A 13,848-nucleotide genomic window follows, 5' to 3' on the forward strand; every position below is an offset into this window, starting at 1 on the left:
GCAGGGGGTCACCTCTCAGCCTCCTTACACTTCTAAGGGAATTCCGGCGTCCTCACCCTGGGGTGACAGTGGCGGGGGAGCTGGAGCCAGCGTCTAACAGGTCAACATTGGGATCCTGTAGGTTTCAGCCCTCCCTGAAGTCCTGAGTCTGGCCAGAGGCTATCTTCCCCAGCTCCCTCGGTTAACCTTCTTCTGTGACAGACTTGGGAGTGAAAGCTTCAAAAAGCCCTGAAAACTCCTTAGGCCTCCTGGGGACAGAATTGGGTCCAAGCTCTGCAGACAGAGCTACTGAGGTCTGGGGCCGTGTGGCACCTCCATACAGGCTGCAACAGGTAAGCTGGCCACACCACACTGCATGGGCAGCTCCCAGGTGTCCCTGCTTGGGGACTTTGGATTTTAGCCCCCTCATTCAGATGGAAATCTTATGGGAAGGAGGACTGGACTTTTCCCTAGCAGCCATTAGCACCTCATGTGAATGCAGCATCTCCCAGCGGGTAAGACACACTGGGGCAGGGACTATTTGAGGGCTCTAGACCTGCACTGTCCAATAGGGCGGCTACTAGCCACCTGCAGCTATTTATGCTTACTTGTAAACTAATCAAAATTAAATGAGTGTAAAAATTCTACCCTCAGCCCTACTCAACAGCCACAGGTGGCAAGTGGCTCACAAGCCGGACAGCCCAAGTATGAGACATTCCTACCATCGCATAAACTTCTACTGGCCAGCACTGCACCCAGAGGAGCCCCTGACCATCCTGCAACCTGAGGATGGGATAGGGGGCTGCAAAGGTCCCTTCCCTACCCTGCCTTCCAGCTGCTTCTCCTCCTAGGCTCACCCTCCCTGAAGGGACAGAAGGTGGCTTTTTTGCCAGATTGGAATCAGCTCTTTCTAACTGAGGGTTTCCCAACCTTGGCACTGTTGGCATTGGGCCCAGATAATTATTTGCGGCGAGGACCGTCCCGTGCCCCGTAGGATGTTTTTCCGCATCTGCATCCTCTACTCACTGATGCCAATAGCCTCCCTCTCCTGAGTTGTGACAACCAAAAATCTTTCCAGACATTGCCAAATTGCTCTGAGAGGGGAGTGAGGGTGGGAGGAGCAAAATGCTCTGTGTGAGAACCACTGGTTTAACTACAGGCCTGTGCTAATACTGAAGACGGAACATCCCTGGAGGGGACAGGGTGCCATTAACATTTGAGGGGAATTAATTGCTCAGTGGGTCTCTCCATGGACCCCAGTCAGGCCTTGAGGCCAGGGGTCCTTGCTCAGGCCAGCTTTGATGGAGGAGGGGTGGATGCAAAGGGCTTATCACTGGGGAGGGGCTGCTGTGTAGGGGGAAGGGAGGTGACAGTGGAAGCAACCCACATTCCTGACCTGCTGTGGGACTCTGTGTCCAGCCTTGACAACTTCCGTATGGACTGCTCGCTCACAGCTCACCAGTAACGGGGTGATGTGGGTAGGGGTGTGAGTGGCACCCCCAGGCCCTGGTGCCTGCAGACCGTGACACATTTTGGAAGAGGAAAGAATGCAGACGGGTGCCAGGGTACCCAGTGACTTCCCCCTCGAGGGATCGTGGGCAGAAACACTCAAAGTTTCTGACCAACTCTGAATGCCGACCTCATTCTGCTCCTTCCTCTGCCGTGGCTGGTTCCGTTGCATCATATATTAAAGCAGAGGCGGGGTGAGGTGGTTAATGTGCACCCACAAATAATTCCCAAGTGTCCACTTTCTGCGCATGCAGAGCCATCATCGGCTGACACCACAATGGACGGTCATAACAGGAGGGCCTGAAGTGACCTGGGGGCCGAGCCACCACTGCGGAGTCGAGGGTGAGTGAGGAATGGCTCCTTTACAGCCTAACAATTCACGGAGTAATGACCTAACATTGCTCCTCTGGGAACTGGGCCCAAGAAATATATTTTTGCAGGTAACGGCAAATAAGAGCCAACTCGGCAAAGAGGAAGACTGAATAAATCTCCCCGCCCCCAGGATAATTCACACATTTTGACAAAAGCAATCTATAAGCACTCTACTGAATCTGAAATCCCTGAGATGGGATTGAGAATGGTATTCATTGCCAGACTTATAAAGCCCAACAGATCCCAGGGGAGCCAGAAACCTGTCCCTCCCTACAGACAACTCAAAAAGGCACATTCTTCTGCTCCAAGTGGGTGGGGGCCTTCATCTGGGATTTGGGGGTCTCTTAAAGGCCTGCACAAATTTTCCAGCTGAGGCGTGATGGGGGACAACTGAAGAGAGCAGTAGAAATAACATCCCTCATCTGGTTTACTGCCAAACTCCTATTCATCCTTCAAAACTCTGCTCATGAGTCATCTCCTCTGGGAAGCCCTCTGAGCCCTGGCCTTCCTCACTCTGCAGCTGAGTCAATTCTGAATCCACCCTTTACCTCATCAGTTCTCTAGCCTTCAAGGCCATCCTTCCCTTTAATGCTCAAGGAGTAATGGGCTGAGACCCCAGGAAGGCCAGCCATTGCCTGGTTTCCTGCCCCCGAGTATTTCTGAGGACAGCTTCAGGCCCAGCTGCTGACACTGTCATTGCTGCTGGCTACATCACACATTGCTGGAGCCACCTTTTCTGTCCTGCCATCTCTCACTCCTCACTGCTCCTCGCCTCCTTGTCCCACTGCCACAGGTGGCTCCATGATTCCCCAAACATGGCGAGCACCAGATACAAACTTTTCCAGAGGTTTGAGAATGGCAGGAGGGAATTATGGTGCAGAAGAGAAAAATCTTCAAATTGGACAGGGCCCCTGCTCTATGGCCTGCTGGTCAGGCCCACCCAATAAGCCCACGGGGTGCTCCCCAGGCTGGTTTGCTGCCCTGCACCGGGGCAGCCAACCACCTGGCCCATATCCTTGGAACCAGGATCCTGCCCTGCCCCACCCCCGGCCCTCTTTCTGCCCGTCAACGGCCATACACACTGCCTACCTCATTCCCGGTGACAGGCTCTCCTCCCTTGTTATCAAGTTCACGTTCTTGGACCCAACAGTGCTCCCAGTGAGAATGACCATTTACAGTTACAAACAGGACAATTGAGCTCAGGGGTGAAAACTTTCAGCTCAGAAATAGGATTTCTGACTTTGATTTTTAAACATTCCCAAAGCAAAGAGCAATCTTTCCCCAATTAGAATCAGAAGCTGTCGGGATCTGAAAATGGGCCTCTATGGCTTCAAAAACTCAAGGTCCAAGCTTATGCCAGGGATGCGGTCCCCTCTTGGGGAGTGTATCTATGCTCTCACAGCTGTGTATCAGTCCCTCGGCTAAACTCTACGCCCCTGAGGGCAGGACAGAATTAACAACTATTTATGCATTTGCCAGACTCTAAGCACGTTATACAAGTTCACTGGTCTAAGCATGGTGTACATGTTAACGCATTTCCTTTCAAGGAAACCCTATGAGGTAGCTTCTAATATATCCGCATTTACTGGTGGGGAAACTGAGACACAGAGAAACCAGGTGGCTTGTCCAAGTCACAGGACTAGTGTATGGCCTCGTTTGGCCCCAGAGGCCATGCACTGAAGCACTCCACCCCCTCCCCCACAGAAGCCTTTATCTCTGCACTCCTGGAATCCATGGGTTCCAGCTGTGGCTCAGAACCTGGGCTTTTCACTTTTCACTAGGCCAGGCTGAAAGACACCAGGTCTCCAGGATCTCTGCCAAGGTCTCTCGGTGACCCCACAGTGACTCACTGTGCCCCCTTGTAGGTCTGCTCTGTGCCAGGCCAGGCTCCAGTGTTGTGGGGGAAGGGACAGGTGAGTCCCAGTAGAGGCTGGTCTTCCAGCAGCACACACTCCAGGGATCTGGACAAGCCTCCAAGGTTCACCTGCATTTGGAGGGGCCTCATATGTGCTGACCACCAGGACAGTGAGCATGGGAGGCTCAGCTGAGGACAGAGGTCAGGGGCCTGAAGGACCCTTCTGTCGTTGGACACCTGGAAAGGCCTTTCAGGCCAAGCCTCTGAGAGGCCAGAGAAGGGTGAGGAGACTCCAATTAGACCTGGGTTTTTTGTTTTTGTTTTTGTTTTGGACGCAGTCTCGCTCTGTCTCCAGGCTGGAGTGCAATGGCACCATCTCTGCTCACTGCAACCTCCTCCTCCCAGGTTCAAGCCATTCTCCCACCTCAGCATCCCAAGTAGCTGGGACTACAGGCTCATGCCACCACTCCTGGCTAATTTTTGTATTTTTAGTAGAGACGGGGATTCACCATGTTGGCCAGGATGGTCTCGATCTCTTGACTTCGTGATCCACCCGCCTCGGAGTCCCAAAGTGCTGGGATTACAGGTGTGAGCCACCGCGCCCGGCTGCTTCTTTCTTAAAGTAGGGAACATGCCACCTCTTGCAGGGCTGCTTTGAGCATTACAGGAGGTAATGGACACAGGGACTAGTTTGATCTGTGATGTCAGATAGGTTCTGCAACTGCGTTTTGCAACACTTTTGCCTAGTAAAGTTGGAAAACCTCTGCTGTATTTCCTGGGCTTTGGGTGGGCAGAGTGGAAAGGTAGGGGTGTAAAAGGGAAACCCTGATGCTTCCAGGCCTACTGTCCCGCCTGGCTGGTCCCTCCAGTGTCCTTTCCCTGCCCTTCTCCAAGGACAAATGGAGCACACATCCGTGGGCCTGGCAGTGCGGTGGCTGGCCGCCAGGAGCCCTTTTCCCAGCACTTACCCATTTCCAAGGCCACGGTCATTTAATTCTAGCCCCACACCAGGAACACAGGAGGAATTCAGATTATCCAGAGGAAATGGAACCCAGCGAGTCTACTGCCCAGGGTTTCCTGGCTTGAGCCAGTGTTGACCCCGGGCTCCTTCCTCCAAGCCTGCAGTCGACTGGACCCTCATGTCCCTGAGCAAATGTAGGGGTCTTTTAATATCACAAACCAAATCCTGTTCCTTGACCCTTGCTTACATTCTTCAGTGGCTTCTCACTGTTCTTGTGACACTTTTCAAAAGCTGTGGGCCCTGGCTCTGCCTACCCCCCTCTCAATCCCCACACTCTGCACCTTCCTACTTTGGGGCTAGGAACACCCTCTCCTTGCTGCCAGCTGCCCCCCTTTTTCTTTAATGACTCTGCATCCCAAAGTCAAACACAGTGTCTGGCATAGGAAAGCACTCAGTAATTATTTTAGGGGTGAATGGACTGTTTAGTGAATGAATGCGTGAATGCAGGAAAATGAGACCACAACACAGCTATTCCGAGCTGAAGCCTTTGTGGCTGCCACCACCAGGTTCCCCACCTGCCACCTCCTTTGACCCACTGGCAGATTCTCATGTACATTATCTGGTCACCTGCCACTTCCAAGACCACAGAAATGGCAAAACAAAACCAAAAGGCATTGGCAGAACTCCTGCAAGTCAATCAGCAAAACAAAATGGTTTTTCCATAAAGTACTAAAGGTCTTGGGTTCCTCTTCTAATCCCCATCTCAGTTGTGCCCCAGCCCCCTAAAGACAGTCTTGATCCTAAAGCCCAGAGCATCCCTGCTAGTGGGAAGGAGAGGAAAAGTCAAGGGAACTCAACCACTGTGAGACACTGCCAACTAGCCCTATCAAAACAAGGTTCCAGTTTTCAATTCCAAAAGGCTTTACTACTCAGCCTTGAAGTAGTGAAGAAGTGAAGGCCATTTCACAATTGGTGGAAGTAAAAACAGGTACTTAACATTTTGGAGAGCTCTTGGGAATTGCTTTTCAAAATGCGAAGTGTGCACAGACCGCCTGACCCAGCAATTCGACCCTCAGGTCTCTATCCTAAACAATTCTCCCACATCTGTGCAGAGGTGTGTGCACACCAATGGTCTTCGCAACATTCTCTGTAGTGATGGACATAGAAACAACCCTAAGTGTCTATCAGCAGGGGAATCAGCCACTACATCATGGTACTTCCTTTCTGTGGGATACCAGGCATCTCTGAGTGGTCAAGAAAAATGTCCAAAAGAAAAGCAACTTTCAGAACAACACGGATAATACAATCCAGTTTATATATTTTTTGAAAGGATGGGTAATTCTGGAAAGTGGAGGGGAAGACAATGGGAGCACTTAGAAGGTGAGGCTTCCAGGGGTGAGTGGCAGACATCTCGGCTGATGCTGGGAGGGGGAAAGGTGGAGGGCAGAGCAGAGGATCCTGGCAGGGAGAACGGAGGTGTGAAGCCTCTGAGGTGGGAGCACAAATGACCCAAATAGTGGACCTGGAGCTTGAAGTGGGAGGGCAGAGGCAGGAGAGGTGAGTGGGAGGGAGGGCTAGGATCCTATGGGACCTGTGTGTGCTAAGACCAAGATGGGGCCTTATAGAGATTGTAAACGAAGGGACGACAGGGTAAGTTATAGAATTGCTGGTGGGTAGCTGGAAAAAATAATGATAATCTCTCTCTCTTAAAAAGGAAAAGCGAAACAGAAGTGTTCTGCAGCCTGGGCAGGCTGGAAAGGCGAGCAGAAGCTGTCAGGAGGACAGGCTGCTCTGAAGCAGGTCCAGAGAGCCTCCATCCTGCCAGGGGCACTTGCTTTTGCTGCTGGTACAATGCCCATGACCCCTGGGTCTGCGGTCAGGTCTGTAATGCAGGGACATCTTGGGGGCAGACTTGGCAGGACTTTGCAGACAGGACATGCCAGAATTGAGAAAGTAGGGAGCAGAGAAGCTTCTCCTCTAAAATGAAGCTGGGGGTTCTTTTCCCCAGTGAGGCATTGTTCAAGTGAGGCTCTCCCCTCAGGGGTTTGCTTGACCCTTTCCCCATGACTTAACTGAGCTGTGTTGATCAGCTCGGTCGCCTGGGGCTGGAGAACATTTCTGCCTCTCTTGGAAGAGGAGAGACTTCCCCATCCTGACTCATTATTAGGATGTCTTGATTTTCAGGGAGTGTGGGAGCAGACACTTTTTATGCCTTAAACATCACTGAAACCACCAACTCATATCTCTTAAAGCACCTTTCTGAAGACCAACGCACATCATCTGTGGTCAGTATTGTGGATATTACACTTGCCCCAAAGGAGGAAAAACAAGGATATTATTCCTGTACACTTCTGCATTAGTAGAAAATGGAGAACACCCAACACATCACGAGTGGTCACCACCCGGGATGCTGAAGGAATCAGAGGCCTGTAACCTGGTCACTTTTTGCAATGAGTGTGTATATTGCTTTTATAATAACAAAAAAATATGGCCAGGCATGGTGGCTCACACCTGTAATCCTAGCACTTTGAGAGGCCAAGGTGGGAGGATTGCTTGAGTCCAGGAGTTCGAGACCAGCATGGGCAACACAGTGAGACCCCCATCTCTACAAAAAAATAAAAAATTAGCCAGACATGTTGTTGTGCGCCTGTAGTCTCAGCTAGTCCAGAGGCTGAGGTGGGAGAGTCGTTTGAGCCTGGGAGGTCGAGGCTGCAATGACGTGTGGTCACTTCACTGCACTCTACCTGGGCAACGGAATAGGACTCTGCCTCAAAAAAAAAAAAAAAAAACAAATAACAAAAAAAAAACCCCAAAAAAACTAAATAAAAATTGGGCCTGGGAAACCTTCTGTTTTAACACCACCTTTTCTTGCTCTTCGTCCATCCATGCTGTTCTATCTGAAGCTCGTCTCTGGGACCCTAAACCCTGGCTCAGCCCAGTATGGCTGAGCATGTGTGAACACTTGCCTCCAGGGACGTGCCCATGAGGGCTGAGAAAAACTTTCTTCCTACTCACTTCTTTGAACAGAAATGCAATTCACTCTCACTTTGCGTATGTGCTCCCTATGATTTGGGATTTGCACAAGGAATTATGGCACTCATTTTCCAGTCCAATACAAACGTGAGATTATAACACTATGGCTAATATTTAGAGGCGCCATGCCTGTGTGCCAGACACAGGGCTAGGTGCTTTTTGGTGGATTTGTGTGTTTAACACTCATAACCATCCTTTGGGGTAGGAACTATGACCTGCCCATTTTACAGGTGAGTAAGCTGAGGCACAATGAGACATTACCACTAAAAGCCTTTGACCTTACTTTTATTTATTTATTTTTTTGAGACAAAGTGTTGCTCCGTTGCTCAGGCTGGAGTGCAGTGGCACAATCTCGGCTCGCTGCGATGTCTGCTTTCTGGGTTCAAGTGATTTCTGGCTAATTTTTGTATTTCTATTAGAGATGGGGTTTTACCATGTTGGCCGGGCTGGTTTCCAACTTCTGATCTCAGGTGATCCGCCCACCTTGGCCTCCCACAGTGCTAGGATTACAGGTGTGAGTCGCGGTGCCTCGCCTCTTTGGCCTTATTTTTAAAACAAACAAAAATTTTCAAACCCCTGAAAGAATAGGATATCAACCAACATGGTACTAATCTGATGCTCAGTACAGAGTGCCCATGCTGGTGTCCATCCGACAGTCGATTTATTTTGGAAATTGCTTAGGACAATGGTTCTCAAAATGTGGACAAGCAACACGTCATCCTCATCCCTTGTGAACTTGGAAATGCAAATTCCCAGATCCCTCCAGCCCTCAGACCTATTGAATTAGAGGCTCTCAGGGTGGGGCCCAGCAAGCTGTGCTTTCACAAGCCCTCCAGGGATTCTGATGCAGCTAATGTTAATTTCAGGACATCTGGTTTAGGCTTGAATTAAAAAGAAAGCAAGCCATTCATTGTCCCTGTCCTGATTCTCCTAGGATATTTCAGAACTAGGTAATTCCTCCAAATACTCAAAGCTGTAGGTTAGGACAGTGCTTCTCAAGCCGGAAGAAGCCTCCGGAGGGCTGCTGAAACAAAGACTGCTGGGCCCCACCCCGGAGACGTCCATTCAGCAGATCTGGGGTATGGCCTGAGAGTCTGCATTTCTAGTGCGTATTCCAGGTGATGCCAATGCTACTGTGGGCCCCGAGACCCTGCTTGGAGGAGGACAGAGGTGGTAAATGCCCAGATAACACCTTGTCAAATCCAGAATGCCTCCTTCACACGAGCCTCTCTTTATTTTTTGTTAAGAATTTGAAATTTCTATCTGTGGAAGTGCCGTCTTTGAATTGAAACTCTGAGGCGAATGTAAAATAGGATTTGATACCCACCTCCAGCTAGAAGAAGTGCATTTCGGGCGCACGCCTCGAGAAGGGCTGTGGCGGCTTCTCGCTGAGAGAGCTGCAGGACTCTTTGAGGTTTCTGTTCCCTGCCCACCTCCGGCCCCTCTGGGAGGCAAAGGCATCCCTGAGATGCTGCTGTCTGCCGAAAAGGGCAGGAAGATGGTTTTGAAGAGCACTCCGGAGCCCTCAATAAACAGGCAGGAGACAGTCGCTTCACATGGGCTTTCCTCGTCATCCCACACACAGATGGCAGAGTGAAGCGGAGAAAAATGCCTGAACAGGCTCATGATGCGTCAGCCGTGGAAGGACCACACAGGGCTCTCCAGTGTGATTCATGAGCACGCCGAGGACAGAGCTAAAATCACACAGCAGGGTCAGGCGTGGTGGCTCACCCCTGTAATCCCAGCACTTTGGGAGGCCGAGGCGGGCAGATCACCTGAGGTCAGGAGATCGAGACCAGCCTGGTCAACATGGTGAAACCCGTCTCTACTAAAAATACAAAAAAAATTAGCTGGGCGTGGTGGCACATACCTGTAGTCCCAGCTACTGGGGAGGCTGAGGCAGGAGAATTGCTTGAACTCAGGAGGTGGAGGTTGCAGTGAGCCAAGATCACATCACTGCACTCCAGCTTGGGTGACAGAGTGAGACTCCATCTCAAAAAAAAAAAAAAAAAAAAAATTCACGCAGCAGGTCCCTGCTGAGGAGGCCTGGGAGCCAAGTGTCCTGGGAAAGAGAACAGACAAGAGCTGAAGGCCTACTAAGCGTCAGATGCTGGGACCTTGGTCCTATGGTTGAGAGAGGCAGAGCTGCTATTACCACACAGCTGTGTGTCCCAGGAGATGTGCTAGAGGTCAGTACAGAAGAGACAGTCGAAGGCAGAAGGGACAGGGGTGGGAGGGCCCTTGGGAACAGTGAATTTTTGAGCTGAGCTTCCTTAAAAGAAGACAGGGAAGGGGATTACAAACAGACGGGTGCCCTGATCAGAACCCTGGTCCTTGGAGAGGGTCATAAGCATTTCCCACTCTGGAGGAGACTGGGGGGATTGTGGAGCTGGGGGCCTAGGCCAGCATGGGGCGGGACAGACAAAGAGGAGAGCGACCCAGCAGCTGGGCTTAGGAGGAAGAGGCGCAAGGACTCTGGGTTAGTTGGATGTGCTGCATGAGGGAAAGGAAGGGCACTAAGGGAACTCCTGGATTCACCAATCATGCCCTGTCTCTTCCTGAGCTCCTCATTGGCAGCATAGGATTTCTAGGTTGGAAGGTTCTGGGGCTGCAGTCTGGTCCAGGGCTATGGTTAAGGGACTTGTCTTGAAGCAGATCCACTGTTTTATGATTTGAATTGACTGTTTATTTGGAGGTAGGAAAGAGCAGGGGGAGATGGAGAAAATGGAGTCTAGACTCCCCCAAACTATCTAAAGTAAGCCCTCTGCTAGGTCGTGGGATTCCCAAAACTTAAGACATTGCTCCTGCCCTCCAGGGCCTCACAATTTAGTAAGAGAGACACACCAACAGATCATCAAAATGTAAAGTGTTGAGTGCGTCAGACAGACACACATGATGGCATGGAAGCTGTTGGAGATGGGCTGTGATCCAGGAGACGGGTTGTGGTCCAGGAAGGCTTCCTGGAGGAAGTGGTAATCAGTTAGTTTTACAGCTTTCTGCCCAAGGCGTTGGGTGTGGAACTTGGCTGGTGATAGGGCTGTTTACTGAATCAGAGGAGCACGCTTGGGGAGGAAGATGTCAAGTCAGTTTTGTACAAGTTGAGTCTGAGGTTCCTATACAAGCCAAAGTAGTGATGTCCAGAAGGTATTGCATAGAAGGGTCTCAACTAAGTACCCCACTGACAGTGACACGGCTGGCTGATGGCAGAATTGAGCTTCAAATCCAAGTTCAGTGGTGTCAAAGGCCATGAAGCTGTTCTGGGCCCTTGCAGAGACAGCCCTTAACACGTGCTTGCCAGCCAAACTAGCTTTGCACCATCTGGTCCTGAAAAGCCTTGCAGAGAGCCTCTGAAGGTGATCCACAGAAGGGAGAGGATTTAATTGATAGGAACCAAAAGGGCAAAAAATGGCTTCTATTAGCATGAGCTCATGCTCTCTTGTCTGATTTCCTTCTGATGATGAGATAAGAAGGGAAGATGGCAGAATTTCAAGTTACACCCAAACCACCAAGAATCTTTCTGTCTCCAGCACCCACAGGATGTTTCAGATCAGCTCCTGCCGTTCAGCCCCAAGCCTGCCTTCGCCCCCGACATCAGCCCTCCCCGCTACCCTCCCACCATCACTCCACCCTCAGGGGCCTCCGCAGCCTGCTTCCCATGACTGGGGTGGGCAGGATCTCAGAGAAGGGCCAGGAGGCTCCGCCCAACCAGCTGCACCCCTTCAGTGTTGTGTCTGCTTTGAGGAGAGGGAACCTGAGGCCCAAGTTGCAGGGACTTAGGTTTGGCACAGCCAAGCCTCCAACCCTTCTCTTTCTTAGGTCATCAGCCCTGGATATCCAGCCAGGACAGAGCCAACACCTGTGCCAACACCTGGAGCCAGGTGTCCATCAAGAAGGGACCAGGGTTCGGGAGGTGGCAGCATACGAGCTAAGCCCTTGGCCACGTCAGAAATAGGAACTATTGTTTACTTAATTTTTCCTCTCACGATGAACATTTGGCTCCCAAAAAGTAACTTTCGATTTTTTAACAAAAACCAAATTTTTCATTTTCCCACGACTGTACTATAAGATGTTTTTGTCTCCATTTTTACCAGTGGTCTCTGCCTTATTAAACAGGAATACCCTCAGGGGACCCTATTTAGAGCTGGCATGTTGGCTGCATACCTGTCTTCAGCAGCAGGAGGCTGGCGTCTCTGCAGGAGGCTCCTGCTATGCACTCATGTGAACCACCAAGCCCTCACCCTGCCTCAGTGGGCCACCCAGTCCTGCCTCCCTCAGTCATGGGCAGAAGGTTGGTCGGGGGATATTAAATGGGCAATCGCCTTGCCAGCTTGAGCCAGTTCCCCACCCTGATGTCCTCTACCTGAACACACAGAATTCAGGGAACATCCCCGGGTTCTGATTCAGAGGGTGGGGGTATGGCCTTTGATCTGCCCCACCCCCAGTTCCCTGAGGCGTTTTAATTATACTGCCTCTTGCTATCTTCCTGCTCTGCTGGATGAGCCTCTCTGTCCTCTCCCCTGTCCCTTAGTTCCCGACACTGAGACAAAAACTGAGTGCAAATTCTTTATTTGGCAAGCTGGAAAACACCAGTGTGGTGCTTGAATTAGTAGGCTGGGGCTGCCATAACAGTGTACCCTAAACTGGGTGGCCCAACCAACAGAAATTTACCATCTGACAGTTCTAGAGTCCAGAGTTCAAGATCACGGGGTCATCAGGGTTGGCTCCTTCTGCAGGCTGTGAGGGAGGACCTGCTCCATGCCTCTCTCCTGGCTTCTGGTGGCTGCCGGCCATCTTTGGCATTCCTTGGCTTGTGGATGCAACACCTTGATCCGATGTCATCTTCCCATGGTGTTCTCCCTGTTTCTGTGTCCCAGGTTCCCCTTTTTGAAAGGCTGCCAGTCATACCGGATTAAGGCCCACCTTCATGATCTCATCTTAACTTTAACTGAGCTAATTACATCTACAACAAGCTTATTTCCAGATAAGGTCACATTCTGAGGTGCTAGGGATTAGGACTTCATTACGTAAGTTTTGGGGACACAATTCAACCTGCAACAGGGGTGAAGGGAGACAGGCAGGGAAGGGAAGCTGGTGACGAACTCTTATCAAGCAAGTCTTCATTGTGGGCAGCTGGGATCCCACGGGCAACTCTGAAAAAGTGAAGAACCTGAGGGGTGAGGGAGCTGAGGTATTTATCTACCAGCTCCCATGTGCCAGTGGTGGAAGCTGCTGCCATGAGACAATTCCCTGCGGCTTCCAGCTGGTGTGCAGGCAGAGTGGCCTCCAGTGTCCAGAGAGACCTCCCAGGCAAACACGTGGAAGTCAGACCCAGGCCAGAATGTACATAATGGAAAGGGTCAGGGAATGTGGGCAGGGTACCCACATAGCACCTCTGCCCACTGCCCCAGTTCCCAAAGCTGTCCGGGTCATGCAAGTCCATGAATACAACTTAGCAGTCCAGACCATGACACTGGGCTGGAGTGATGATGAGTCTCACGGTTCCTCACCAGCCCTGCCCAGACTTGATCAATATTCACCATCAATAGGGCCACACCTGGTGCTTCCATCTCCTTTGGGGGAATTGCACTCATAGGGCACCCATAGTGCTTCTGTCCCCAAATCTCCACAGAGGCCCTCCTGAGGCATCCCCTGGCCATGGTCATGGCCAGCTGGTCTTCCTTGCTCCCATACATATTGTTTGACACTTGCCTTTCTTCTTGGATGCGTTTCCATATCAGCATTAAGATCGGTACCATTTGTTTCAAGGGCTTTGTAATAGCCTGCCCCGTGGATGTAACATGATGTGTTTAATTATGCTTCTGTTGAGGAACATATACATTGTTTCCATTTTTGCTATTATTAGGAATGCCACAGAGGACACAAAGTACACTGATCCACATGACAGGTTTCCAGAGGTCCAAGTGTTGGTGAAATGACATCCACCTACTTTAAATGTTGAAAGAGAACCCCACATTGCTTTCCCCAAAGTTACATACCCACCTGGAGAGTAAGGAATGTCTGCTGTGAGCACACAGCATAGGGAGAGGCAGTAGCTAGAGTTCAATGACAACCGGACTTTTCCACACTGCACCAGAAGCTGTGGCAGACACTGGACCCAGGATGTGTCCCCAGACCTCCC

At 50.9% G+C, this 13,848-nt stretch overlaps 3 annotated features.

Moving 5' to 3' along the window:
- Nucleotides 4,430-5,145: an enhancer, noted in NCBI's record as "H3K4me1 hESC enhancer chr2:121463233-121463948 (GRCh37/hg19 assembly coordinates)". NCBI's record gives its function as "activates a minimal SCP1, AML or CMV promoter by ChIP-STARR-seq in naive H9 embryonic stem cells {active_cell/tissue: H9 hESC(naive)}" and the evidence as "EXISTENCE:reporter gene assay evidence [ECO:0000049][PMID:30033119]".
- Nucleotides 8,151-9,019: an enhancer, noted in NCBI's record as "NANOG-H3K27ac-H3K4me1 hESC enhancer chr2:121466954-121467822 (GRCh37/hg19 assembly coordinates)". NCBI's record gives its function as "activates a minimal SCP1, AML or CMV promoter by ChIP-STARR-seq in naive H9 embryonic stem cells {active_cell/tissue: H9 hESC(naive)}" and the evidence as "EXISTENCE:reporter gene assay evidence [ECO:0000049][PMID:30033119]".
- Nucleotides 9,020-9,887: an enhancer, noted in NCBI's record as "H3K27ac-H3K4me1 hESC enhancer chr2:121467823-121468690 (GRCh37/hg19 assembly coordinates)". NCBI's record gives its function as "activates a minimal SCP1, AML or CMV promoter by ChIP-STARR-seq in naive H9 embryonic stem cells {active_cell/tissue: H9 hESC(naive)}" and the evidence as "EXISTENCE:reporter gene assay evidence [ECO:0000049][PMID:30033119]".

Source organism: Homo sapiens, chromosome 2 (genome assembly GCF_000001405.40).
Source record: "Homo sapiens chromosome 2, GRCh38.p14 Primary Assembly".
Taxonomy (NCBI): Eukaryota; Metazoa; Chordata; class Mammalia; order Primates; family Hominidae; genus Homo; species Homo sapiens.